General features: G+C 41.6%; 2 long non-coding RNA genes and 1 pseudogene across 5 annotated transcripts in view; 2 read left to right on the plus strand and 1 right to left on the minus strand.

Moving 5' to 3' along the window:
- LINC01507 (long intergenic non-protein coding RNA 1507) overlaps positions 1-27,650 on the plus strand; it is a 210,026-nt gene that overhangs the window by 35,707 nt on the left and 146,669 nt on the right. The window lies entirely within an intron of this gene.
- Positions 1,971-27,646, minus strand: LOC105376101 (uncharacterized). 4 transcript variants are annotated; one of them, XR_929985.3, is made up of 5 exons: positions 27,209-27,646; positions 26,329-26,514; positions 14,254-14,869; positions 6,450-6,632; positions 1,971-3,679 (listed from the first exon to the last, which is right to left on the minus strand). It is a non-coding gene; the product is annotated as an uncharacterized LOC105376101 (long non-coding RNA). The 4 variants fall into 4 exon arrangements; XR_929986.3 differs by lacking the exon at positions 26,329-26,514; XR_001746762.1 differs by lacking the exon at positions 26,329-26,514 and having other exon boundaries at positions 14,254-14,367; positions 27,209-27,237.
- NPAP1P6 (nuclear pore associated protein 1 pseudogene 6) lies at positions 2,784-6,639 on the plus strand (annotated as a pseudogene).

Below are 27,650 nucleotides of genomic sequence, written 5' to 3' on the forward strand. Positions count from 1 at the left end.
TATTATTTTTAAATACGTCTGACATATCATCTTTCTTCCTAGTTCCTCTAGGAAGTCTTTGTCCAAAATTTGTACCAGTTTGTTTTGTTCCAGAAAACAAAATCAAGAGATTATTCCTAATTGAACTCTCTCCAAATGATAGCAAGGAATTATGGTTACATGCCATAACTGTAAACCATTTATGCCGTGGTTAGAAAGGGCTGATAATATTTCTCCTCTTTTCAAACAAAATTTGGGTCTGAGCAAAAACTTTTTGTGTTCTACCAACCTCAGCCTTTTTGGGAATGGAACTCCAAATTTGCTCTGACATGCTATAAAAGGAATCTTATGAGGAGAGGGCTAAAACCAATTTTATAGTATGTTAATTATGTACAGTGTTATTTTAAATAGATGTTTTAAAATGTAACATATGAAAAATTTTTAGAGAGCTTTGTTCTTGGTTCTGAAACTTCCGCATGTCATATATCTGATACACCACATCAGCCCCAAGAGAGAAAAACACATTACTGAAATAAGCCTGAGAAACAAGATTCAAACTAGACAAATCTCTGTAGGATTTTCAAATCTTTCTTGTCATGCTGAAGCTTCTAGCTCCTAGGACAGTAACACACATTTCTCTTTTCCTGACACTGAAGATCATGTCTCCTCTCTTGGGCATAAGAAGGTTTAGAGTGATATGTAGGTGACAATAATGTGTGGTGAGGAGTAGGTCCAGCTGGCATGCTCACAAAGACCAAATTGTGTTGATCATATTTTAATTCAATACATTTCTCCAACATTAACTGGCAAATAAATTATATACTTGCTTTCTAGACATATTTCAGGAAGACCAGAAAACATGGATTCTTTTATTTTATTTATTTTATTATACTTTAAGTTTTAGGGTACATGTGCACAATGTACAGGTTTGTTACATATGTACACATGTGCCATGTTTGTTCGCTGCACCCATCGACTCATCATTTACATTAGGTATTTCTCCTAATTGTTGCGGGAAGTCAGGGACCCCAAACGGAGGGACCAACTGAAGTCATGGCAGAAGAATGTGGATTGTGAAGATTTCATGGACATTTATTAGTTCCCCAAATTAATACTTTTATAATTTCTTATGCCTGTCTTTACTGCCATCTCTAAACATAAATTGTGAAGATTTCAGGGACACTTATCACTTCCCCAATCAATACCCTTGTGATTTCCTATGCCTATCTTTACTTTAATCTCTTAATCCTGTCAGCTGAGGAGGATGTATGTCGACTCAGGACCCTGTGATAATTGCGTTAACTGCACAAATTGTAGAGCATGTGTGTTTAAACAATATAAAATCTGGGCACCTTGAAAAAAGAACAGGATAACAGCAATGTTTAGGAAACGAGAGATAACCTTAAACTCTGACCACCGGTGAGCCGGGCAGAACAGAGCCATATTTCTCTTCTTTCAAAAGCAAATGGGAGAAATATTGCTGAATTCTTTTTCTCAGGAACATCCCTGGGAAAGAGAATATGTGCTTGGGGGTGGGTCTGAACTGGCCCCCCTAGGTGTGGCCATCTTCTATGGTTGAAACTGTAGGGGTGAAATAGACCCCAGTCTCCCATAGTGCTCCCAGGCTTATTAGGAAGAGGAAATTCCCACCTAATAAATTTTGGTCAGACTGGTTGCTCTCAAAACCCTGTCTCCTGATAAGATGTTATCAGTGACAATGGTGCCTGAAACTTCATTAGCAATTTTAATTTTGCCCCGGTCCTGTGGTCCTGTGATCTCGCCCTGCCTCCATTTGCCTTGTGATATTCTATTACCTTGTGAAGTATGTGATCTCTGTGACCCACACCTATTTGTACACTCCCTCCCCTTTTGAAAATCCCTAATAAAAACTTGCTGGTTTTGTGGCTTGTGGGGCATCACGGAACCTACTGACATGTGATGTCTTCCCCAGTCCCAGGTCCTCCTCCCACCCCTGACTTGGGAGTGGGCCCAGCTTTAAAATTTCTCTCTTTTGTACTTATTTCTCAAACCGGCTGATGCTTAGGGAAAATAGAAAAGAACCTTTGTGACTATTGGGGCAGGTTCCCTGATACTTAATGCTATCCCTCCCCCAGCCCCGCAGCCCCCGACAGGCTCTGGCATGTGACGTTCCCCACCCTCTGACGTTCCCCACCCTGTGTCCAAGTGTTCTCATTGGAGAACATGGATTCTTATCCATAATAAATAAACTGCTGGTGAATTTCTTTCAGGATAGACCATAATGGGTCTAGAACATAATCTTTATATACTTAGATACCTCACACAGGATCAAAAAGATCATCTGAGCTGCAAGGCTCCATTAGAAGAGAAATGTGGCATGACCCTGTGGGACAATTGCTGGTCCCTGCCCTACATTTTCTTAGAGGACTGGAGCCCACTGTGGGCCATGGTCAACTTATGAGTTGAGGTAAAGGCCTCATCCTAGGAGTGCATGTGCTTATTACACATATGCCACCGTGCAAAGTACCCAGAGAAAATACATGTAAATTGCCCATCTCGAGCGAGTTGTGCTCACTTCCTTTTACAAATTTGCTAAAACACTCCTTCGTTTTGTACTGGATATTGCTAAAACAACATTTGGGCCTGAGACTCTTCTCCAGGTCATTCAGGTGGCAGTGGCCCAGCCAGGCTGTGAACCCGGGCTGTGTGATTCCACAGCTCACGCTCTGGCCTGTGTGCCTCCTTATCGTGGAGACATGGTGTTTTCTCATTCTTTCCTGTAGCCGGATGGAGGTTCATTGCCTTGCTTCTGTCCCTCGGTGGAGATGGGCAATTTACTTCACACGTTTCTTCTCTGGTCTGCCTGCAGGCTCTCGGGCCAGCGGCCGCCCCTTGCCCTAAAGGCCTCTGCGCCTGCCCAGGACAGCCAGGCCCTTTCTTATTCCTGTTCAACCCGCGGCGGCCTCCTAGGCCCTCCTCTCCAGGCAGCTTGTGTGGCACCCCTTGTCCTCTCCCACATGACAAGGGTGACCCTCTGGAGTTCCTGCAGGCTGTGGCCTCTGAGCCACCTGTTGGGAACTCCCGAAGGTTGCTGCACCCAGGGTCCCTGAGGACCCTCCTCCCGTCCGCAAGTTCGCCCTCCCGCTGCCTTCACCACCTAAGCAGGTCCCAGCCAGGCTCCCGAAGGAGACTGAGGGTAGGGCCGAAGAGGAGCCCAGAACAGTGACGCAGGAGCATCACGTAGAGACCCAGGAGCAGGATGACAAGAAAAGAGCCCCCGTAGCCACGGCAGGACTTCATCCACGTCTAGGGCCCTGGAGACCCAGGGAGACCTCACCTCCTTCGGGTGCAGGCCCGGGCCTCTGCAGGGAAATGCCCACCCCTACCTGTTGGAAAACCATTTGAGAGAGAAGGCCCAGGTGTCTCCAGTGAGTGGCTCCTTCTGGGAGGGCCATGAGGCCCCCAGCTCACACAGCCCTGCTGGAGGTGGCCTTCCCCTTGGGAAGCCTGACCCGGCTCCAGCAGTGCTCCTGGCCCCGGCCCCGGCCCCGGCCCCGGGCTGCTCCCTGCAGCCAGAGAAGGCGGCCAGGAAGGTGCTGGATGAAGACCACCCACCCAGCTCTCCAAGCTTGCTGATGTCGGGGAAGAAGATGCAGGACAAGAAGCCTTCAGCTCTTCTGTCATGGAACTCTTGTCCACTCAGAGCTGCCAGCAACAGGCCCTGCGAAAGGAAAATGTGGATTCCACCGCTGCTGCTCCTGGCCCCACCCTGTGATTGATGTGGGATAGAAGTGAGTTGTCTCCACCTGCTAAGCTTCCCTGCCTGTCTATTGAGGGATACCTGGGCAACTTGGAGAACAGCATGGGGTGTAAACAGAACAGCAAAATCTTGGAGGATAAAATGGACAATTTGGAGCACAAAACAGAGGCCAAGGCAAACTGCAGCACCATCCAGCCTGCCCCTGCTATCTCCCCACATGCGGAAACTTCAGACTCTCTGTCCCTGGCCACCTACACTTTGCAGGTCCCAGCTCCTCCTTCCACCCTTGACTTGGCTGAGCCGGCTACCAGACCCCGCTGCCTGTCTGTCACACCAAGAATATCCAAAATCCCTAACTCTCCATTGTCTCTTCCCACTGACCTTGTTCCCATATTTTGGGTTCCACCTAATGAGGAAGGAGGTTCTTCTCATTCTGGAGTAGCTTCAGCATCTCCCACTTCTGACCCCCTGACACCTAGCCCCACACCTTTCTCCTTCCGGCCTCCCTTCAGAAGGGAGTTCCCTACAGCTGTGTATGTGCATTCCCTTCCTCCTCTTTCCTCTCCCGCCCTTCTTCCAGGACCTTCCACCAGGATCTCTGTTACCACCAGCAAGCAGATAAATTTCAAAGCAGTCATTTTCACCATCACAGCAAACACATCTGCCCACCACACCTTGCAGCCTCCTTCAGATCCTCAGGTCCTCAATAGGGACACCACTTTCCCACCTAAGGCTGTGATGTTCAGAACTTCCTCAAGCTCCAGGATGAACTCTCTACTAGTTTCCCAAATTGATGGCAGTGCACAGCAGGGGCCCCCTGGTAAGACTCAACCTATATCACCCAGCTACATTTATATTCCCCAGCCCCACCCCTCAGCCCAAATTTTGGGTCCCTGATTTGGCCAAGGCAAACTGCAGCACCCCCCAGCCTGCACCTGCTGTCTCCCCACCTGCAGAGACTTCATACTCCCTGTGCCTGGCCACCTACACTTCCCAGGTCCCAGGTCCTCCTCCCACCCCTGACTTGGGCATTGCCTCAGCCCACATCTCCACCAGTTTGCCTGCACAGCCAGTCATGAGACCAATGACAACTTCTAACCACACTGTAAATCTGGGAGCCACGGCTCCACTCACATTGGGGGCCCCTAATGGGCAGCAGTGGAAAGCCTGTCTCCCCAGTACCCCTGTTATTCTGAGCCATGATGGGATCATCATGGCTCATCCAGACACCTCCAGTTTAGGGAGCAGAACCTCTGCAGCATCATCATCCATTCCTACCATTGACAGCAGTGCTGTGGATACCACCCTTATTGAAAAGCTGTCATCTTCCAGTCTGCCTCTGTCTCACGGAAGAAGTGTATCCTTGTCTCATCTGAGCCTCCTTGGTTCTGGGAATACAGATCCCAGTGGCAACATTGTCTCAGTTCATGTCTCCACCAGTTTGCCTGCACAGTCAGTGGTAGGACCAACTGTAACTTCTAACCACACTGTAAATCAGGGAGCCACTGCTCAGCTCACACTGTGGGCCCCTGATGGGCAGCAGTGGAAAGCCTCTCTCCTCAATGGTTTTCTGAGACTTCCCAGACACCTCCAGTTTAGGAAGCAGTACCTCTGCAACATCATCTTTCCTTCCTACCATTGACAGCAGGGCTGTGGATACCACCCATTTTTCAAAAGCTGCCATCTTCCACTCTGCTGCTGTCTAAAGGAAGAAGTGCATCCTGTCTTATCTGGGGCTCTCTGCTTCTACAAACAAACAACTCAATAGAAACACTGCCTCAGTTCACATCTCCACCAGTTTGCCTGCACAGTCAGTCGTAGGACCAACTGTAACTTCTAATCACGTTATACATCCGGGAGCCACTGCTCAGCTCACATTGGGGGCCTCTGATGGGCAGCATTGGAAAGCCTGTCTCCCCAGTACCCCTGTTTTTCTGAGCCTTCCCATGATGGCTCCTCTAGACACCTCCAGTTTAGGGAGTAGAACCTCTGCATCATCATCATCCATTCCTACCATTGGCAGCAGCACTGTGGATACGACTCCTTATTCAAAAGCTGTTGTCTTTCAGTCTGCTGCTGTCTCAAGGAAGAAGTGCATCCTATCTTGTCTGGTGTTTCATGGTTTTGGTAACACAGAACCCAGTGGCAACATTGTCTCAGCCCACATCTTCACCAATTTGCCTGCACAGTCAGTCATGGGACCGATCCCAACTTCCCACAACGATGTAAATCCATGATCCACCTCCCAGCCCATATTTGGGGCTTCTCATGGGCAGGATAAGTCAGACCGTTCTTTTATTCTGGGAAACCCAGCAACCCCAGCACCAGTTATAGGCCTAAGGTGTTCTTGCAGCCAGCCACCCAGTGACAGCACAATGGCAGCAGATCTCACCAGTGTGACATTACCATATTTTGCATTTGATTTGCCTATCAATGTGCAGCCAGGTATGATTAAAAAACCAAGTGCTTCCCTCATTGGCACAGCCAAGTCATCTACATTTAGAGATACCACCAGAATGCCTGGCACTGGAGACAGTAACTGCATCGGTTGACAATTCTACTCTAGGCCCAGGGGGGATAATGAGACCTGGAGCCCCTAAACATGGTGAAAACATTGGGGTTAGCATGTCTCTGCAGTTCCACATCAAGAACACCGAAAACTATACCAGGATGGAGGGGAACAACCAGCACCAGCCTGTACCCCCATTTGGTCAGGTAGCCTGGGGCTCACCTGCTCACACCACATTGGTTGTGGCTACAAACACCAGCACCATCCTTGCTTGTTCCACCTTCATGCCAAATACCTGGCATGCACCACTCCAGAACCCAGGTGTTGCACTAGGAAGAGGCAACCACATTCCCATTGTTGGAGCTCCTCGTGGTTCCTTTTTCCATCAGTCCATGGTCGGTCCACCTGGACAAAACACAGGTAGTGCATCTACAGTGAATTCCACCATAGCTATAATGAGAGGCCTTCATGTGCCGTCACAGCAGCCAAGCTCCCAAGGCCACCTGGACAATGATTAGATGGTGTCATGGGGGACAACAGCACAAATGCTGTGAGTGGTCACACTTATAATTCTCCATTCACAAAGAGCACCTGAGGTCCACCTGTGGTGTGATGGGGGACAAATAAGAAGCAAGTTCCCCTCCACATGCAATCTCCATGAACAAACTTTGCCCCTGGAGAAAGGGGCTTAGTCTCTTTAAATTAAACTTAAGCTGCTCTCTCCCTTTAGAAGCCAGAGGCCCCAAACCTCAATGGGTGTGTGTGTGTGTGTGTGTGTGTGTGTGTGTGTGTGTGTGTGTGTGTGTGTGTGTGTTTGTGTGTTGGAGGGCATGAGGAGGCTGATAAGCCCAGTCAGAACCACAGTGTATTTGAGACACTCCCCTGTGGAAGGTAGAGGAAACCAGCATGTGTCAGCTGTGCTTTCTCTGGCTTGACTGTTAACCTGGGTGTCCCAAGTGCCCAGCCAGTTCTCTAATCTTTGAACTGGCAGGATATCCTCTGTTATTTACAGGTGCTACTTTTCCACTTGCCCGTTTTTCACAATAAGCCCTTATCTTTCCCAATTGTGTCTTAAAAGCTTGCTCTTGCTGATGTGCCTCTGCTCATGTGTCTTTGCTCTTTGACTCAACTGTGGAGAAAGAATTTACATGTTTGAGGAATGATGTGTTGAGGCAGACTTTACGAAAAACTTTCTGTATGCCAGGGAATAGGATGTGGAAGCAGCCACCCTTTCTGACTTCACAGGCTGAGTCCTGAAGCCTCTGTGTGAGGTTTGAGCATCAGGGATGACAACATAGTGAAACATGAGGTTCAGACCAGGGCGAGACCAGGTGGCCCGTCCTTGCCTTTTCTGTCTGTTCTTCTCTCCTATGTCATTGGAAGCAATATATTTCCTGATGTGTGTTAGGAACCTGCACTTTCTCATTTTCATTTTAAAAAATTGTTTAAATGTCTTTTGTGTGTGTCTTTTTGTTTAATTTAGACTTAGGCACGTCATCCTTACAGATTCCCGCTTCACCAAGAGAGGTTGGGCTTAACATCCAGCTTCTTGCACATAGAGCCATCAAGAAAGGAAGCACTCATGCCTACTCTGTAATTATTGAAAATTCATGTTTACTTAGAATTTATCAGGCTGCTTAAAATGATCAGAAAAGATTCTTTTTAAAAACTGCTCTGGCTCTAGTCTAAATCACCAAGGTATCAAATCACAAGAGTTACAGTTACACCCAGATCTGGCTGACCTTCACATTCTGCTAGGTCTCCACTAGACTGAAATGCCAAAAATACAAACTTTTCTAAGGTATTTCACAACCCAGGAGAACCATCTCAAGGTGGGGAAAGAAGAAAAGTACAAGCATTTCCCTCAGCTTCTAGCATATTCACCATTTGCTAGTGATGACTTTACAATAAACTCTGTGCTAGGCCCTGAAGATACAGAGTTGAAAGACATCTCTTGCCCCAGAAAATTTACAATGTATTCTGGGGGACAGATGACCAGACCAAACAATTAACTGGATAGGTAGGTGCTGAGATAATGGGAGCAGGTAAGAAGAACATTAACTACTTCTGTGGTAAATGAAGGATGAACTGCACCTTCAAGGAGAAGGGGACAGTTGAGTGGATAAGGACTACTTCTGGGTCAAAGCAATAGCATTAAAAGGCTAGAGAAAGAATGTAGATGACCAGTCAGTGGGACACTAGACTGGTAGTCAGGTGTGTTTGAAGAGTGAAACCAAAGGTGGGAGGTGCACCTGCAGGGTTCCACAAGAGTGGATAGAAAACAAACTTAAACACCACAGTGGGGCACCTGTTCATTTTTCTGAAAGCATGAGAAGTCATGAAGGGATTGTAAGCAAAGATATGACAAGATTATATGTAGATTGTAGAAATCTCCCTGTGACTATGTGAGAAAGAAGAAGTAAATGATGCCAGGGCAGAGACAAGGAAGCTTAGTGACACTGCAGTGAGTCAAGGAAAGATGAAGAAATGAGTTCCTGGTCTAAAGAACCTGACAGCAGGGATAGTGAGGAGGTCAGAGAAGAGGGAAGTGAAATGGGTGACAGCAACGAGCCCCGGCCTATCCTCATCATCTGCCTTGAGTGAACAAACATAAGTGATTTTGGCAAAAATTTAAGTTCTACTTTTCATAGTGTGAGATGATGGTGGAAAATCCAGATTCTATTTGGAAAGCAGTTCATTTACTCAGTCAATTTAAAGTATCTGTTGAGCAACTGGGATGTGCTGTGGACTATTGTAGGTAGTAGTGTCAATTACAAGAAAGGAAAAATTCCTGACTTTGTGGACTCTGCATTCTAGTTGAAGTGGAGAAAAGAAGCAGCAAACATGGAGATTATCTGGTAGGTTAGCCAGTAAGAAATGCTATGGAGAATAAAGAAGTACGTGGGGGATTGAGATTGTGGATAGAGAGAAGCAGGGGATTCCATTTAAACTGTGGACAAGACAAGCCTCACTGGGAAAGTGAAATGTGAGCCTCAGAGGCAACTGAGCCAGATATCTGAGCAAAGAGCATCCCAGATAATAGGAATAGTCACTGCAGAGGCTCAGGGGAAGGACGCCTCTCAGGTCCTCAGGGAGCAGCTAGTGAGGCAATGTGGCTGGAATGGAGTCAGTAGGAGGGAGGGAGGGAGAGAGGGAAGGGAGGAGGACAGAGAAAATGTGGGGTGAATTCCTTGCACCACCATTTATTAGTTGTACAAACAGTAGAGTCAATCTTCAAGAGTCTCAGTGAAGTCAGTTCTTATGCTATGGACTGTTTACCTGAGAAAATTTCTAAAAGGATAACATGAAATAATATAAGGAAGTAACTTGGAAGCCATTGTTGTTATTGTTCTGTGGATAAATGGATGGATGGATGGATGGATAGACAGATGAGAGAAGTATAGACTGAAATTTTGCATTCCCTCAAAAATTCATATTTTGGAACCCTAACCCCCAATGTGCTGTTATTAGGAGGCTGGGCCTTTGGGAGGGGTCTAGTTTTAGATGCAGTCATGAGGATGGAACCCCCATGAAGGGATTCGTGCCTATATAAGAAGAGCAAGAAACACCTGAGCTTCTTCTCACTGCCACGTGAGGACATAGCAAGAAGGTGACCGCCTTTAAGCCAGGAAAAGGGTCATCACAAGAAACAGTATCTGCTTTCATCTTGGACTTCCCAGGCTCCAGAACTGTAGAAAATAAATGTCTGTTGTTGAAGCTACCAGTCTATGTCACTTTGTTATAGGAGCCTGTGATGGTTAATACTGAGTGTCAACTTGATTGGATTGAAGGATGCAAACTATTGATTCTGGGTGTGTCTGTCAAGGTGTTGCCAAAGGAGATTAACATTTGAGTCAGTGGGCTGGGAAAGACAGATCCACCCTTAATCTGGGTAGGCACCATTTAATCAGCTGCCAGCACTGACAGAATATCAAGCAGGCAGAAAAAGATGAAAAGACTAGACTGGCTTAACCTCCCAGCCTACATCTTTCTTCCGTGCTGTATGCTTCCTGCCCGCGAACACTAGATTCCAAGTTCTTCAGCTTTGGAACTCAGACTGGCTTCCTTGCTTCTCAGCTTATAGACGGCCTATTGTGGGACCTTGTGATTGTGTGAGTTAATACTCCTTAATAAACTCATATCTATATCTTTATCTATATCTATATCTATATCTATATCTATATCTATATCTATATCTATATCTATCTGTCTGTATCTCTATCCTATTAGTTCTGTCCCTCTAGAGAACTCTGACTAATACACAGCCCAAGCTGACTAACATAAACAGGTAGGTAGGTAGGAAGGTAGCTAGGTAGCTTGATAGGTAGATAGATAGACAGATACATAATGAAGATAGAGAGCAGATACTTATATATGTGTGCTCTGTGAGTAAGTTCCTTAAGCAGTGGTCTTCTGCTTGCCTTTACTAGGCAATGCAAATAGAAGAACCCTATTTTAAAGGGAGCATAAAAATGCTTACTTTTATGAAGTAAGCACCTGTAAAAATATGATAAATAGGGCTAAAAATGCACAGCATTGTGCCTAGTGCAATATGTATGAGATTAGCCCTGTAACAACAAAACCATCTAGTGGACTCCTCCTGGCGCCCTGCTGCCTGATTCCTTTACTCTCAGTTGCTTAGCACAGTTCCAGAGGGTCAAAGTTCCTGTGCAATGGGTACAGAGAATCACCTTCCCTTTGTGGTCAGAACTGCCTTACAGAAGCAGGGACAAAATCTGTTTGCTTTTAATAGTCCTGCCCCCTGTCTCTACCATGCCTGGCAATAATATCACCAGGGACAAGTTTTAAAAACTCATACTTTTTGACATTTTAGAGAAGACCTTCAATTATTATTCTGATAAGACAAACTTTAAAGAAATATGTGAGAGATATAAAGATGAATTTGATTTTTATGTTCTGATGCACTTACACAGCTGTAACTATTTCTAAACAAATAGATTCTTCTGTTTTTATTCAAACAAGCATAATATAAATTTGAATAATACTGAAATTCAACCCTTCCTACTCCAGTTCCCCTTTCCGAAGATAGGCTTTAGCCACTTTGTTGTTACCCCCGTATTTCTAAACTTTATGCTTATTCTGCTGTGTCGTGAAATATCCATTTTAGAAAATATTTCTACCACCCTAACATAAGGGAGGACGATAAACTCCCACTTCCACTCATATTCCCCATCTCTTCTCATGTGTCATATTCATTTTATTAATTTTGCTGCTTTCGTTTTATAACTTCACGTAGTTTTGTAAGCTTTTTTGGTGAGAGAAAATGGTAGTATAGTGGCTAAAAGCATTGGCTCTGGAAATAGACCACTTGGTTTGGAATCCTTGCTCTTTAGCTTACCAGTTCTGCAACCCTGAGTAATTTACAGAGCCTTCCTATGCCTCTGTCTCCTTATCTGTCAATCAGGGAAAAGGCAAATATCTACCATATGGGCTGCTCATGATGCTTAAGTGGAACAATGCATTTGTAGACTTTAGCATCCAATACACAATCTCAAGTTTTTTCTATTAAGTTCTTGTTTTATCAATGTTTACTCTAATCTTAGGACTTTATGCTCAAAACTGTATTCTCATGACTCCTCTGCCTTTCCTTTTCCCTTGCGCAACTCACCTTTGTCAATTTAAGTATTGGTCAGTCCTGGGGAAAACAGTGGGATAGGATTATAGTTTCTTCTTTGTAGGTAGAGGGCCCCAACTTATGTCTTTTCCATCAATGGTTGTTATATTCTGTTTTGCATTTTACTTCAACTATTATTTTTCCATATAGATTTCATTGCTTTTCCTACCATTTGACTTGTCTCTTTTAAATCCTTGCATTCTTTGCCATGAGAGAGTATTTCGTATTTTCAGACTCAATATTGTTTATGTGACTGGATCACTCCCTTTTCCAGAAACCTTGTGCCTCCCCAACTCCATTTGGAAGCTTTAAGGCCAAAGTAAGGACATAGTCTCAGAAGAAAGAGGGCCAAAGCAGCCACTCATATTGCTTTTAGGTTAGGCCAGAAGTGTTCACTAATCACTCATTACAAAAAATATCTGATTCTGACCTCGTCATCCTAACTTCCTAGATCTGTGGTAGAGCCAAGAATCTGGACTTCAACTAGCACTCTGGCTAACTATGATGCAGACAGTCCACATTTCATATTCCTCCAAATGCTACTTCAGGCCTTAGGCGAAGGCTCACCAAGGGCCCATTCATCTCATCAGATAAATAATTTTATATAGGAAGTGAGGACAAAACCGTAGTTACTAATAAGCAGAGTATACATCTACTTCTTAGGAACTAGAAAGTGGCATGTGGGAAATTTTAGAATTTCAGAGATGTGGATGCATGTCTTTCTGGCTCTAAATATTTTCATTTTAGAGATCTAGAAACTGCCCCTGGCTGTAAGGAGCGTTCCCAGGCCCTCCCTGAAGCAGTCACTACTGTGACCCCAGGCAATGTGATGCAGTGAGGGCCTCCTGAACAACAGCTCATTCTTTTCCTGAGACAGAGCTGGGAATGACTCTCCCAGAAGTCCCAGGACAGGAGTGTCATCTTCAAGAATGCCTTCTGGATAGGAAAACTGAGGATCCTAGGATCAAATAGCGGCTAAATCTTAGAGCCACAATCTAGATCCTGGATTTATTGAAGGCAGGGAGCGGGGCATGGGAGGGACCAGAAAAACAAAACCAAACAGAATCTCTGCTAAAAAATGGTTTGTCTTAGGTAAATAGCACCTTTTCTTTAAGCTCTTATTTTTTTGTTAATGACTAATATCAGAGGCTTTCCTGGAAGTAGGTCTCACAGGATGGAGGGAAATATGAACACTTATGAGTAAAAATATAGGGCTTTGTGGGGAGACTGCATTGAAGATAAGGGTTCAAAACACATACTAGGTCAATTTCTAACTTGCCATTGGACTAGCCTAGGCTAGAAGCACTGACTAGTGAAATGCCCAAGTTAGCCACAGGGACAATCACTAAAAGTATTTCTTCTGATTTCCCTTGAAGTTTGATGATTTCACGAAATATATATCTCATATATGCACAGAAAATGTAAGCCTTGAAAATGCTGAGATATTTGTGAGCCTAACCTTGATGGACATCAATACTTATGACAGAAAGTGGAGTAAGTGATGAGCTTCGGATTTGCATTTATTATTAACAAATAGTGCTTACTCTATGCCAAGCACTATTGTAAGTCATTAGCAAATTCTGATTCATTTAATCTTCATAATAACTCTATTGATAGGTATCATTTATAATTCTACTTGTTTATTTTTTTAAGGACGCTGAGGCCCAGAGAGGTTAAATACCTTGTTCAATGTCACACAGTTAGTAGATTGCAAAAACCCAGATTTATAACCAGACCATCTGAACTTTTGTCACTTGGCTGTACCACCTCATTATAAACCATGTGTAAGGAAAGGACTAAATTGACAAGAATCTGAACTAAAGACAGAAGAGGGAAATGAGAAAGTGAGTGATGTTGGAACCTGGGGAGAATTTAAGTTCAGAAGTTCTCAGGGATGAGTCCTGGGAGAGGGCCTGAGATATGGCTTGAATATTAACTTGCGGTGGCACCTAAGTCCTCTGAGACAAGACTCTATTCTCCTTAAAGTTCAGAAAGGCAGGTTGGATGAAATGTATTGGAAACAGGGTAGAAAGGAAAAGAATAATGTGACTTCAGTGATGAGCAGTAACATTTTCCCTTTAAGTAATAGGAGAAGAGAGGGTCTCTGGGGAAGGAAAGACCTCTTGCTGCCAGGTGTCTAGGCATTTATTCCCCGGATGAACATTGGGAAAAGTGACAGTCATTGTACTGGTTTCAGAAATCCCTTAAAACCAAAGCTTCAGCTCCCCAGAACAGGGTTAACAGTTGTGTGTTAGGCTCTCCACTGTGTCTGCAGTCACATGTTTTCCCTGGAGTAACAGTTCCTGTTAAGTATGCATTAGTCTCCTATGGCCGCTATAACAAATTAGCACAAACTTGGTGGCGTGAAACAAAATACATGTATACTCTTACAGTTCTGGAGGTCAGAAGTCTGAAAGCACTTTCACTGGGCTGAACTCCAGAGGTGGCAGGGCTGTACTCGCTCTGGAAACTCGAGAACAGGATCAGTTTAAGATGAGATAGCACCTACAACATAAGCTGGGAACTGTTAGGTGCAAGTCAGTGACACTGAAAATGAAGGCATCACTAGTTTAGAGAAAGAAATCAGAGAATAAAGGTTGACTGGTTAATATTTGGGAAGGTTTTCATTTTATACCACAAACATTTATGGAGAAAAGGTGACTGGAGAACAGGAATGTGCACAGGATTTGGTAATTGGTAGTGGGGTATCTGCTGTTATGCTCATGAATCCACATGCTTTTTCCTCAAATGGCAAGTGGAAGTCTGTCCTCCACTACTGACGTTGTCAGCTAGAACTGGATTTTGGCATTTCATTGGCTCAAGTCATACTTTCTTTTGGTGTTAGAATCTCCTTAGAGTTTACAATCTTGTGTTCTACTTAGGTTGCTTTTTAAGAGTTAAATTCCAGCATAGGCTGGGGTTTTGCCTACACAGACTCTGTTATAGGCGATGCCATGAACTTCCAAGGGCGTCCAGTTCAATCAAGTTGTCGGAAGTGTGCAGGAAGCTGTAAGACAGGTTGTTAAGATACAAAGGGCAAGTTAAACTTTAAAGTGCGCTATAAGAGAGGCTGCCTCATGACATAGTGTATTCCAGGCCCTAATGAATTCACTAGGTCCCCATAGCCGAGCAAAGTGGAACCTGTAGGGCTTCTTAGATGAGAGGCCCTCTGTGTTACTTAACCTCTGCCCTGTACCAGGGCAACTGCTACTTCTCAATCTAGAAGAAAACCAGTAGAAACAAAATTCTTATTGTAGAATCTTATATTAATACTCTCAAAAATAAGAACTAAGGTTTTCTTACATGCTATTGATGAAAATCATGATGATCTAAATTTTTTAATGAAAAATTTTAAATTTTAGTATTTAATTATGGGTGAAATTGAGCATTCGTTCAATCATGTTTCCAAGTTATTTGTGTTTTCTTCTAAAATGGACTTCTCCTTAAATGAAAGGCAACTAAAACTTTGTTCTATGTCTATAATTGTATGAAACAATCTAATCATTTATTCCTCCAAAAATAGTATTGTGTCTTTTGATAAAAGAAAATTAAACACTGACCCAAGGGGAAAGCTGACAAATCTCAATACCTTCACATTTATTAGGGCCAACTATCCTAATGTCAAAAAGAAAAAAAAGAAAAGAAGAAAAAATATTGGCAGTACATATGATTGTGTTTAGAATTAAACTATCATTTAAAGTGCTATTATAAATCATAAAGGAAAGAGTAAATATATCCATAGAGAATAGGGAAATGATATGAATAAATAGTTTGACAAAAAAGAAAATATAAATAGCTTAGACCATATGAATACATGCTCAGTAGCATTCATATTTTATATTAAAATTAAAATAACTATGAAATATCATTTTAACTTTTATATTAATCACAAAAATCATTGCTGAAGATGTGGAGAAATGAAAATTTTCAGGCAATTTTAACAGGAATGCACATTGGGATAGCCACTTGAAGCACAATTTAGAAATATCTTTCACATTTTTCAATGTATATACTATTTGACCCGACAATTCCATCTCAAGGACTCTCTCCTATGGATGTGTCTAACACATAAGCAAAGATATGTGTCCATTGTTATTAGTAATGGTCTGGAAACATTTTAAAAGACCCATTAATAGGAAACTGACTAGAATAATTATAGTGCATTCATATAATGGATCACCTTACAGCCATTTTTAAAATGAGGTACCTCCCTAAGTTCTGACATGCTGAAATATAATTTTCTCTAAGATATATTGTTAAGAGAAATAACGAAAGTTGTAGAAAAAGGTAACACAGGACACAATAATTTACATAGAAAATTCCAGAAAATATACATAAAAACTTTAAGTAGTAAGATGAGAGGGAAAATTATTTTCACTGTTTACCTGTTTTGCTATTTTGCATATACATTCCTTACTTTAATTATATAATCTAGCTAAGGAGAAGTAAAGTGTGCCATGTCAAAATAGTCTGAGCTCTATATAAGCTTTTTAACATATCTTTAAGGAGGAAAAACATTCTGCTGAAATATGTCAAAAAGAAATTACATAAATAATGAATAGATAGATGGGTATCCATGATGCATGCCACTTTTAAATCTAGACACCTTGAGTATTTCACAAATATATCCAGGCAGGCAATGTGTATACTAGTCTCACTGGCTAATTCACTTCATGTAATTCATGCCAATTCCTCATATTGGGTTCAAAGAACACAATTGTACCTAAAGACCTAATAGAAATACTCCTAAAACTTTTCTGACTATAAAAGGAAGATGCTCAGCCTAGGAAATATGATGAGACCTCGTCTCTACAGAAATGTTTATATTAAAACTAGCCATGCATGGTGGTGCATGCCTGTAGTTCCAGCTACTTGGGAATCTGAGGTAGGAGGATCTCTTAAGACTAGGAGGTCAAGGCTACAGTGAACCATGAGCATGCACTGCCCTCCAGCCTGAGTAACACAGTGATACACTGTCTTAAACAACGAAACAAAACAAATATCAAAAAAATTGCTAAATACAATTTCAAAGATTAATTTTTCATTTTAGAAAATTTATCTATACACAATTTCTCTGATTCTGAAGAATTTGATATTTTAATCTAAACCTTAGTTAACTATGGTATCTAAAAATGTCTTAAAAGAGAAAAATAAATATGCTATTAAATCTCATTACTACTCTTAGGTTGATACATTTCCCAATAATCAACTTAGCTTAAAAGTACTCATAATATGGCAATGTATTGCCCAGATTCAATGCCACTTTTGGGAGTGAATATAATAACCAAACTTAGATTCACTTATTTATGGAATAATTATTAGCCTCCTTAAGATCCTTTGTGTGATTGGACCAGTAAATAATATCATTAACTGTTAATTAAAAAGTCACACTCACTGATTTTATCAGGAGTAAATATACTCAAGAAAAAGACCTTGGACATCATCATAATTGGGATTTATACAAACTAGTGGATGAGAAAAGTCATGATGGAAGTCAGATTTCAGAGAGTGACTGGCAGAAAATCTCTGAAAGTGCAGAAGGGATTGAGTCTACTAGGGCTGACTCAGAAATAAGACCCACTTTTCAAAAGGGATAATGATTTTGGGTAGAGAGTCAGGCTGTGACTGAATTTAGTCTGCATTATTTCCTACTAGACTGCCTAAACACTGCTAAAAAGAGAGTTTTGTAGGTGGAAATTAAATAATTGTGGCACTGGAAGCCCAAGACGTTCAGTGGGAATCTGTTTTCTTTACAGAGAGTGCTGGACAGTATAGACTGGACTCTTTCAATAGGAGCCTTAATTATGGATGTGTCATAAGAATAGAAAATAAGAGAATAAAAAATAAATGAGAACTAAAGACATTTTGTGGAACTTTGGGAGTCAGAACATTAAAATAAGGTGCTCCTGGAGCTTGGAGTTGAAGCTTTTATAGGTGTGGGCCAAACAGCCTATTGGTAATGGTATCCATGGGCTGAAGAGGTAGAGGGTTTCCAGGCTTCAAAACAAGTGTGGTGAAGCAAGTACCCTCACGAGCCTTTCTGCTAGAAGTCAGCTGGATTCTGCATTAAATAGACTTTTGGATTTAGTGCTGGTCTTCCAGGACATAAGAGAAACCTCTAAACATCTATAATAAAGAAAGGCAAGAATCTGTGTGCTGAAAGTAGAGCAGTGAAGGGCAAGCAAATAAAAGTTGGATTTTCCCAAGGGCAAAACCAACATTAGTATCATACCATGCGAATTAAGCCTCAGGCTAATGGTAAATAAGTAAATCTGACCCATAGTTGCGTGTATAAAACCAGAAACCCTGAATAGGGAAGTAGTTCAAGATAGGAAGTCCCTCTGGTTCCCAGCAGACACAAAGGCAAAACCACAGAATAATGTCAACCAAGCACATATAAACTCACAACCAAAGGTCATCCACCAAAATAGGCCCCCAAGGGTAAAAATTTGGAGAAAAAGCAGATTCTTCTGATATTAAATATTTCAGTGTGGAGTATTAAAATGACTCTTATTAGATGTTAATAAATAAAAGAAGTAATCACAAATTTAAACAAGCAATAAGAACACAGTGCAGATATTAAAAGGAACTATGTACTAGGTTTTGAAACAAAAATGTATTGTCAAAGTAAAAAGAAATCCTCAAGGACTTATGTAAACAACAGATTAGCACACTGAAAAAAAAATTAGTGAACTGGAAGCTAGATCAGAAGAAATCAGACAATACAAAGGGACAAGAAAATGTATAACATGAAAAGAGGCCAATGGGTATAGAGGACGGAACTGTAAGTTTCACCATACATCTAATCAGAATTATATAAGGAGAGAAAGGAGGAGAGGCAATATTTGAGGAGCATTTTTTCCAGAAATGATTAAAGACATGAACTCACAGATATAAGTGAAAAGAAATCTAGACCCAGATTCATTGTAGAGAAACTGTAAAATATCAAAGACAAAGAGGTTAAAAGCAGCCAGTGAGAAAATATAGATAATCCAGCAAATTACAAAAGCTACATGACAATTAACATCTCAATAGCAACAATGGAGATTAGAAGACAAAACCTAACTGTCAGCAACAAACTGGGCACTCAGGAAAAATACATTTTAGAATAAATGTAAAGTTAAGATTTCATTTTAGGCGCTCAAAAACTAGAAGTTTTTATGTAAAGCAACTTCTAAAAGTTATACTTAAGAAAGAAGAAAAAAATAACATCAGAAGGAAATTCTCACATGTAGGATCAAGAAGGCATAGAAACAGATAAACATGTAGCTAAATAAAATTAAGCCATGTCATATGGAGTAATCATAGTGTTGTCTAATTAGCAGGGTTGAAAATGACGAAAATGATACAAATAATGATATGCACACCAGGAGGGAAGAGTTGAAGGCATTACATTTCTCATACTGTTTTTGAGGGAAGGTTAAGATACTAACTTTTTAAAAGCATACATGGTAACAAGTTAAGATCAGTAACTAAAATTAAAATAGCATATATAACTTTTCAGACTCTGGGTATGTAGAAATGAAATAACGAACAAAACAACAGTTAAATTAAAAAGAGAGGCAAGACCTAGTGTCTGATAGATCAGTAGGGTGACCATGATTTATAATAATCTATTACAAATTTCAAAATAGCTGGAAAAGAATAATTCTAATGTTTCTAGCCATAAAGACAAGAGAAATATTTAAGGTGATGAATATCTCAAGTACACTAATTTTATCTTCACAAATTATATGAATGTATTAAATTATCACATGTAATCTCAAATTGCATCTATTATGAATCAATAAAATAAGAAAGTTTTTTTAAAGTTAAAAAAGAAAGGCAAGAAAGCAAGAAAAAAGAAATTTCTTGAAGCAAAGGGACACATAGCAAGGATAAAAGAGTAGGCAAGTCTAAATATATTATTAACCACAATTAATTTAGATATACTAAACTAGCTGGTTAGAAAACAAATTGTCAGATTAAAAAAAAGAAAATCTTGACACATGCTATTTGTATTAGACAAGCATAACACTTAAGGGCACAGAAAGTTTTATATAAAAGGATGGACAAATTATTCTAAGCCAATTAACCAAAAGAAATAAGCAATACTGATTTTTCTTAAAAAGGGTACATTGGAATCAAAGTTACATAACCTCTACAGAAAAAATTAAAAATATGTCTTGAAAGATATTATAGAAGATCTAAATAAATTGTGAGACATTTCGTATTCATTAGACTCAGACTGTTAAAGATGATAATTTGCTCTAAGCAATCCACAGGACATTCAAGAACTTCCACTCAAAATCTTGATAGAATATTTTTGAGGAACTTGACGAGATGATTCTAAAATTTACATAGCAGAAATAAATGCCAAGAACGGTCAAAATTTTCCTTAAACAAAAATAAAATGGGAGAGGGATTGCCTTACTAGATAATAAGAGTTGTTATAAAGCTATAATACTCAATATTTTGTTGTACTGTGAGAGATGGAGACATTGACCAATGGAGCAGAATACATCGCTAATAGGAACAGACCAATGTAACCTGGACATCTGAGAAATGAGAGTGTTGGATTTGTAGGGATAATTATAGACTATTATAAGTGCAAAGCTGGGCTTTCTTAAACAAATGTAAAACATGCAAACAGTAATTGGTAAGTTCTAATTTATAGAAGTTAAGAATTTCTCTTCATGTAAATACACCAAAGAGAAAATGAAAGCAAGTCATAACTGAAGTAGATATTTCCAGTATGTCCAGCTTGCATGAAGAGCTACAAATCAGCAAGTTAAAGACACCTGCAGAAATTCTGGTTATGTGTGTGACACTCCCTGATCCTCAAGATCCCAAATTCAGGGACTATTTAAGAGACACAGAAGTAGTGGCTGAATTCTTTGAGACTGAGTAATTTCCTAGACTTTGGGGATTGCCATTGAAATGACTTTTTGGGAAAACAAGCAGGTGATCTTAGGGAATTTCAATTTACATATAGTCTATGAAATATGTCAATTTGCAGTACTTCTTAATGCTTGATTCTGATTGTGTATTCTTTTCAAGTAGTACAGTCAGATGAATACAGAATAATGTTAAGATGGTAGGGCAATTGCACTAGAGCAAGTTATTAAGAAAACAACATATTCTTCACTAGTGTTGAGGGTAAATATATATACGGTTTTTACCAACTGAAATGTAAGCAAGGCATGAAATATTGCATCAAAGACTAGTTGTCTGAAAATATGGAAGAGTATTCTTTATATCTTTGTCTGCTTTTCTGCCTTGAAAGCTTTGGTTTCCCTCATCTCTCTTTCCACAAGCCTCAAAGTCTAGAATGTCTTCTCAATCCTTTTGTTTCCCATACAAACTATAGCTACCTGTCTAGCCACTCCTCTCCTCTCTGCTCCTCTCCTCTCCTCTCTTCTCCTCTTTCCTCCCAATCCCTCCCCTCCCCATCCTTTCCCTCCCTTCTCCCCTCTTCCCTCCCCTCTCCTTCTTCCCCCCTACCTCTCCCCTCTGTCCCCTTTTCACTTCCTCTTCCCTCCCTCTCCTCCCTTTCCCCTCCTCTCCCTGTCTTCTTTTCTTCTTTTCTGTCTTCTCATCTTCTGTCCTCTCTTTTTAAATGTTGACCCTGACTTTTCTTATCATCTTAAAGAGAATAACACTGTTTCCTATCAATAACACTGTGTCCTATTAAGGACAATGCAGGAATAAATAGCCACAAATTCCTTTGATTGGAATTTATGTTTCAGATAAGAAAGCCTATTTAACAAAATCTCAATGGTCTTTTGCCATAATAATAGGTTAATAAGTTAATTAGCCAACCAAACATTCATATATGCTATACTATTTTTCTTCACTTAAATCTTTATTTGTTAAGCACTTTCCTTGAAGTCTTACATTCTTCTAAGTTGTCTTTTCTCAAACTGGGTTCTATAGATTCTTGGGGGATTCAACCACAAACATCTTCTCAAAGAACCAAGAGTTCTCTATGAGAAATCTAAAATACTATATTTTTATTTAAATGAGGATTTACAAATTTAATATATTTATCTTTTAATTCTCTGAATAATCCCCTTATAACAGGATACTCTCCTCTCAACCTCAGGGATCTAATTTGTGCTTGTATTTATGACTATGCTGTTGCTCAGTAAGCTCTCAAAGTGAACACATTTAACTCTTAAAGTGTCGTTAAATATGTCTGGTAGCCATTAGGTGAATAACAATCATAATATCAGAAGGACAATAATTGCCTGATTTCTGCCTCATACCTATTTTGAGTACTTTTACTGTCAATAAATACAAAATTTCTCTTTTACAATGATAATTCTCAATTGAAGACACTTTTCATAGAATAAGAATTTAATGTCTTATTGGAATTAAAGAACAATCTTTAACATAATATTACATAAAATTAGCAAAGCAAATCTTACAATAGTATAATAAAAGTACAATACTTTATGAACGAATTGGTTTTAGTCCAAGAATGCAAGGTTGATTTAACGTATGAAAATCAATTAATGTAATCCACCACACTAACAGGTTAAAAGAAGAGAATTATATAATCACTATATGTAGAAAAAGCATTTGACGAAACACACAACTCATTTCTCATAAAAATTGTCAGCAAACTAGGAATAGAAGGAAACTTAATCAACCTGTTAAACGGCACCCATGGAAGTCCTATGGTAAGTATCATAACGATGAAAGATTGAATGCTTTCTTCTAAGATTGAAGAAAAGGATGTTTTTTTCTCACCATTTCTATTCAACATTGTATTAGAAGGCCTACCAAGTGCAAAAACTAAAATGAAAAGGATGAAGATTTGAAAGGAAAGGAAAACTATCTGCAGATGACATAATTTTGTAGCTAGAAACTCTTGTGGAATCTAAAATTATTAGAACTAATACTGGATGTAGCAATATTATAGAACACACATTGAATGAATAAAACTGTTTTATTTCTACATATTAGCAATAAATAAGTAGAAAATAAAATTTAAAAACATTATCAAAAACATTGAATACCTAGTAATAAACATAAAATATGTGTAGGACCTCTGCATTGAAAACTAGTGCAGGCTCTAATCTGCAATGCACAAGGCAGGATTGGGGTGGAAGTGGGGCCTGAGGTTGTACCAGGGCCGGATGTGGGGTGGTAACTGGCAGGGCTTCAGCCCAGAGCTGTGGCACAGCTGTGGGGTGGGGAAGGCTCTGGGGAGAGGAAGGAGTGGGTGGGGACCACTTAGCCTGCTTTAGGACTGAGGGTACATGAGCTGTCCCACCTAAGACAGAGGGGACCCTAGTGGGGAAGAGCTACCAGAGATGGGGAGAATCAGCCCTGAGTCTCACTGTGCAGGCAGAGGACACCCTGAACAGCTGGCCCCACACCTGCCGCTCAGGGTGCCCCATGGTTGTGGGATGCAGAGGCCACTATGGCCTGCGCTGCTGCTTTCATTGTCTTCTTTGCTCCTGAAAGTTTGGACACCTGTGGTGTCCTGCTTGCCAACAACTGAATCTCAGGTGTTTCCAGTCTTCATTTGGTAGCCTGACCTCAGGAGTTTTGGAAATGATCCCCACTTTATGTGTCCTCCCAAATCCAGACATCCCCTTTCTGGATAACGTCTCCCCAGGTGCTCCTGGGCATCACAGAGGGGGAGTCTAGCAGCTTCCACATGCCTGCTTGCAGGACCTCCCAGAGAAGGCTTCTGGCAGGTGGCTAGAAATGAGCTCTTGCAAGAGAATGGAGAGGGAGAAGGGGATGGAACACATCTATGTCAGGGGAAGGGGTAAGCTGGGTGCTTTTTGCCTGAGACTTCAGGGAGGAAGGGAACACCCAGCCGGAGGTCACTGGAGAGCAGCACTCAGGACAGAGCACAGCGGGTGGATCACGAGATTGAGACCATCCTGGCCAACATGGAGAAACCCCGCCTCTATTAAAAATACAAAAAAAAATTAGCTGGATGTGGTGGAGGTGGTAGTGCACACCTGTAGTCCCAGCTACACAGGAGGCTGAGACAGGAGAATCACTTGAACCCAGGAGGCAGAGGTTGCAATGAGCTGAGATCATGCCACTGCACTCCCTCCTGGTGACAGAGTGAGACTCCTTCTCAAAAAAAAAAAAAAAAAAAAAAAGATTGCAACTGAGTCCCATGAGTCAGAGTTAAAGCAGAGTTTGCCCAAGGAGGAGCAGAGAGGGTGGTAGGTGCAAATCTCAGTCCAGTGGATCAGTGTGATTCCTGGGATGAGTTAAATTAGGTGAAAGATTGAAATTCTGACAGAGAGTGGGTCACATGGGGAGCTTGGGTCAGAGACCAAAAGAGGTTTGGATGGGTAATAGAATACAGTGTCTGAGTGTGCCTTGGAGTTAAAAAGAAAACATCACTACCTTGATGTGAGAACCAGACCATTAAGAGATTGAGGGCCAGTGGCACAAAGACACCCTGTGGTGAAGGGAAAGAAAGGACAGTGATGAGGTGGCTGGGTCATGTGGGCAGGTGGACACCAAGAGATGAAAAGGCCAAGGTTAGCAAGGACTCTAGCAGGGAAGCTGCGGCATCCCAGGGGGACACAGAGGGAGTAGCTTCCTCCACCAGCTCTCATGACAGGATGTCCTGCTCCCCCAGCTGTTCTGTGGCACCCCTGTCTGCAGAGATCTTGATGGAGTTTGCACAAGGCTACTTTCAATGGGAACTTCCCCAGATGGCTGCAGGAGACAGGCGGTACTGACTACAGCCAGGAGCACTCCCAGGACAGGACGCTGGCAAAGTTTGCATCCTCCCACATCTTGACTACACCATTGCTGCAGCTTTTCTGCCCCGAATGAGTTCTGAGTTAGGTAAAACAAAGGCAATGGCCTTGTGTCAGTCCTTCAGGTAACCCCCAGACAGGTTAGAACAAACATACACAATTCTTTGAGAATTCTTCTCTGCTCCCTTGGGAACCAAGGACCAGGTTCCCATCCTGGGAACCTGGCCACCTTCTTCAAGACCATCACCAAGCAGGGAGAGAGTGGGGCGAGGGCAAGGAAACACACAGCAAAGCTGCCTTGTTGTTTTTAAGCTGCTTTTGTGCTGCTTCAGCTTTCACTCTGTTGAAGCTCCTTGGGCTATTTCTGAGTTCTGACAAAGCTGAACCCAGCCACCCAGTTTACTTCCACAATTTCCCCCCAAATCTGCATCTACAGAGAAGCATCAGTGAGCAAAGTGGCCTTTATTAGAGCGACTGAGGAGGAGGGAGCGGTGAGCACACCCCGTGTCCCCAAATTTAAAACTGTCTCTTAGTGATAATTTCCTTTGAAAGTCCCTTTTGCACTGCTTGGCCCTTGAGGGCTGTCAGCCTCTCACTTGTACCCATGTAGTCCCAACCTGCCAGCATCCTCCTCCCCTTGCCCAGGGTCCCTCCCTCTCTCCCAACAATCTAAAATATTTTCCCATTTTTATACAGAGCAAGCCAGCTCCCAGGAGTCCCTGCTGTTCCTACCTGCACATTCTAAAGCCATCTAGATGTGAAGTACAGATAGGAGGCCTTCTATTTGGTATAACTTAAGAGAGAAATTGCAGTGATGTAAAGCACTCTCTTTTTGTTTTGTTTTGAATCACACCAGTGGTTGTTTCCCCATGAAGGGTTGTTTTATGATGTGTATGTATGTGAGTGTACATATATACACACATACACATACATATGCGCACACACATACATATGCCACACACACACACGCTCCCGTATTTTATTTATTTATTTATTTTTGAGATGGAGTCTTGCTCTGTATTGCCAAGGCTGGAGTGTAGTGGCGCGATCTCAGTTCACTGCAACCTCCGCCTCCCAGGCTCAAGTGATTCTCCCTGCCTCAGCCTCCCAAGTAGCTGGAATTACAGGTGCCCACCACTACGCCTGGCTAATTTTTGTATTTTCAGTAGAGACAGGGTTTCATCATGTTGGCCAGGCTGGTCTCGAACTCCTGACCTCAGGTCGTCTGCCCGCCTCGGCCTCCCAAAGTGCTGGGATTACAGGCATGAGCCACCGCGCCTGACTGCTCCCATATTTTATATCCTCATATTAATAGATTCAATTAGCTCAGCTTAAAAAGCATTGCCATTCATTGGTATGCCGGCTCCTGAAAGCCACTGTGCAGATCTTCTCAGTGCTCTGTAGCAGTGCTGTCATGTTGGTATATTGAAATGATAGAGTGGTGGAGTATTTACACCATGGAATACCAGCAATGGTACTTTTAAAAAGAGTGAGCATCCCACTGTTTCACAGAGTTGTGATGCTCACTACTACATTATTAAGATCCCACCCTGGTGGAAGCAAGCATCGTATCATTTCCTCATTAATCTCCTCAAGTCTCATGATAATTCTAATAAATCAACCACAGCCAAAACTTTTTCCTCCCATATGATGAAACCTCACAAGAGTTGTAACCTCCCTTTTTGTTTGTTTTCTCTGGCAAGACAGCTTGTTCATAATCCGTCCCCATCAAAGGACTTACACTTCAAAATCCCCTCTTCTGCTCTCCTTTCACTGCCAGATGATGCTCTGTTTGGCAAAGACCTGCAACTCATTGCTGACATCTCTTGCTTTGGCATTTGCAGCCTGATTCTGGCCAAGACTGACTTTAAAGACCCAGATCTCTTAGATCTAAAAATACCCTTCAAAGTTTGAACATAGGTAAGATCTAGAGAGAGAAGTTTCAGGTGAGAAAATAGGGTTTACAAATGGCCTGAAGTATATTTCTAAAAAACAGATCAGTATTCTAAAAGGCAAAAATTTGCTGGAAAATTTCAAATGTTAAAGGAGACTACAGAAACATACTGTATGAGATGCGGTCTTATGGTAGACCAGTACTCCAGGGAAGACAGTGCTATAAAGGACATTACTGGGTAAATTGACAGAATTGTCATGCAGAAAGAAGATTCAATAAAATTTCTTTAGTAATGTTAAATTTGTTCACGTTGATAAACTCTGTACGTACTGGAGTATCTACTTTGTGAATGAATATACTCTGAAGTACTTAGAGAAGTAAAGGACCATGTTGTATGCAACTTATTCTCAAAGCTTAAGGAAAAATATTGATAATTATATGTATATATAGAAAACAAATCTGATAAAATGTTAAACATTTGAGAACCTGGGTAAAAAGGTATAGAACTCTTCTTTTTTTTTTTTTTTTTTTTTTTTTTGAGACGGAGTCTCGCTCTGTCGCCCAGGTCGGACTGCGGACTGCAGTGGCGCAATCTCGGCTCACTGCAAGCTCTGCTTCCCGGGTTCACGCCATTCTCCTGCCTCAGCCTCCCGAGTAGCTGGGACTACAGGCGCCCGCCACCGCGCCCGGCTAATTTTTTGTATTTTTAGTAGAGACGGGGTTTCACCTTGTTAGCCAGGATGGTCTCGATCTCCTGACCTCATGATCCACCCGCCTCGGCCTCCCAAAGTGTAGAACTCTTCTTTTTTTCTTATAATTTAGCTGTAACTTTGCAATTATTTCCCAAAAAAATGTTTAAAACTTTTTTTCTACATAACCCCAGTAGACTCAGGACTTGGAGACACACAATAAGAAAGAAAGAAGAAAAGTAAAAGAAATTCAAGCCTGAAAATTGGTTTCAGGGCTGCAGATATCTATTGTGGTGATTGTTGTTAGACTTCCAGTCACCACACCAACAGCTTTTTTTCTTAATCAAACCAGTTCTAAGAATATGTAGCAAATTAGCCAGCAACAAAAATCTCCATGGGTAAAGCCATCTGATTCCTGCCTCAGCTCACTGCCTATAGCTCTAACCACCCTGCAACCCAGCATCCAATTGGATTCTGGGA

This window comes from Homo sapiens, chromosome 9 (assembly GCF_000001405.40).
Source record: "Homo sapiens chromosome 9, GRCh38.p14 Primary Assembly".
Taxonomy (NCBI): Eukaryota; Metazoa; Chordata; class Mammalia; order Primates; family Hominidae; genus Homo; species Homo sapiens.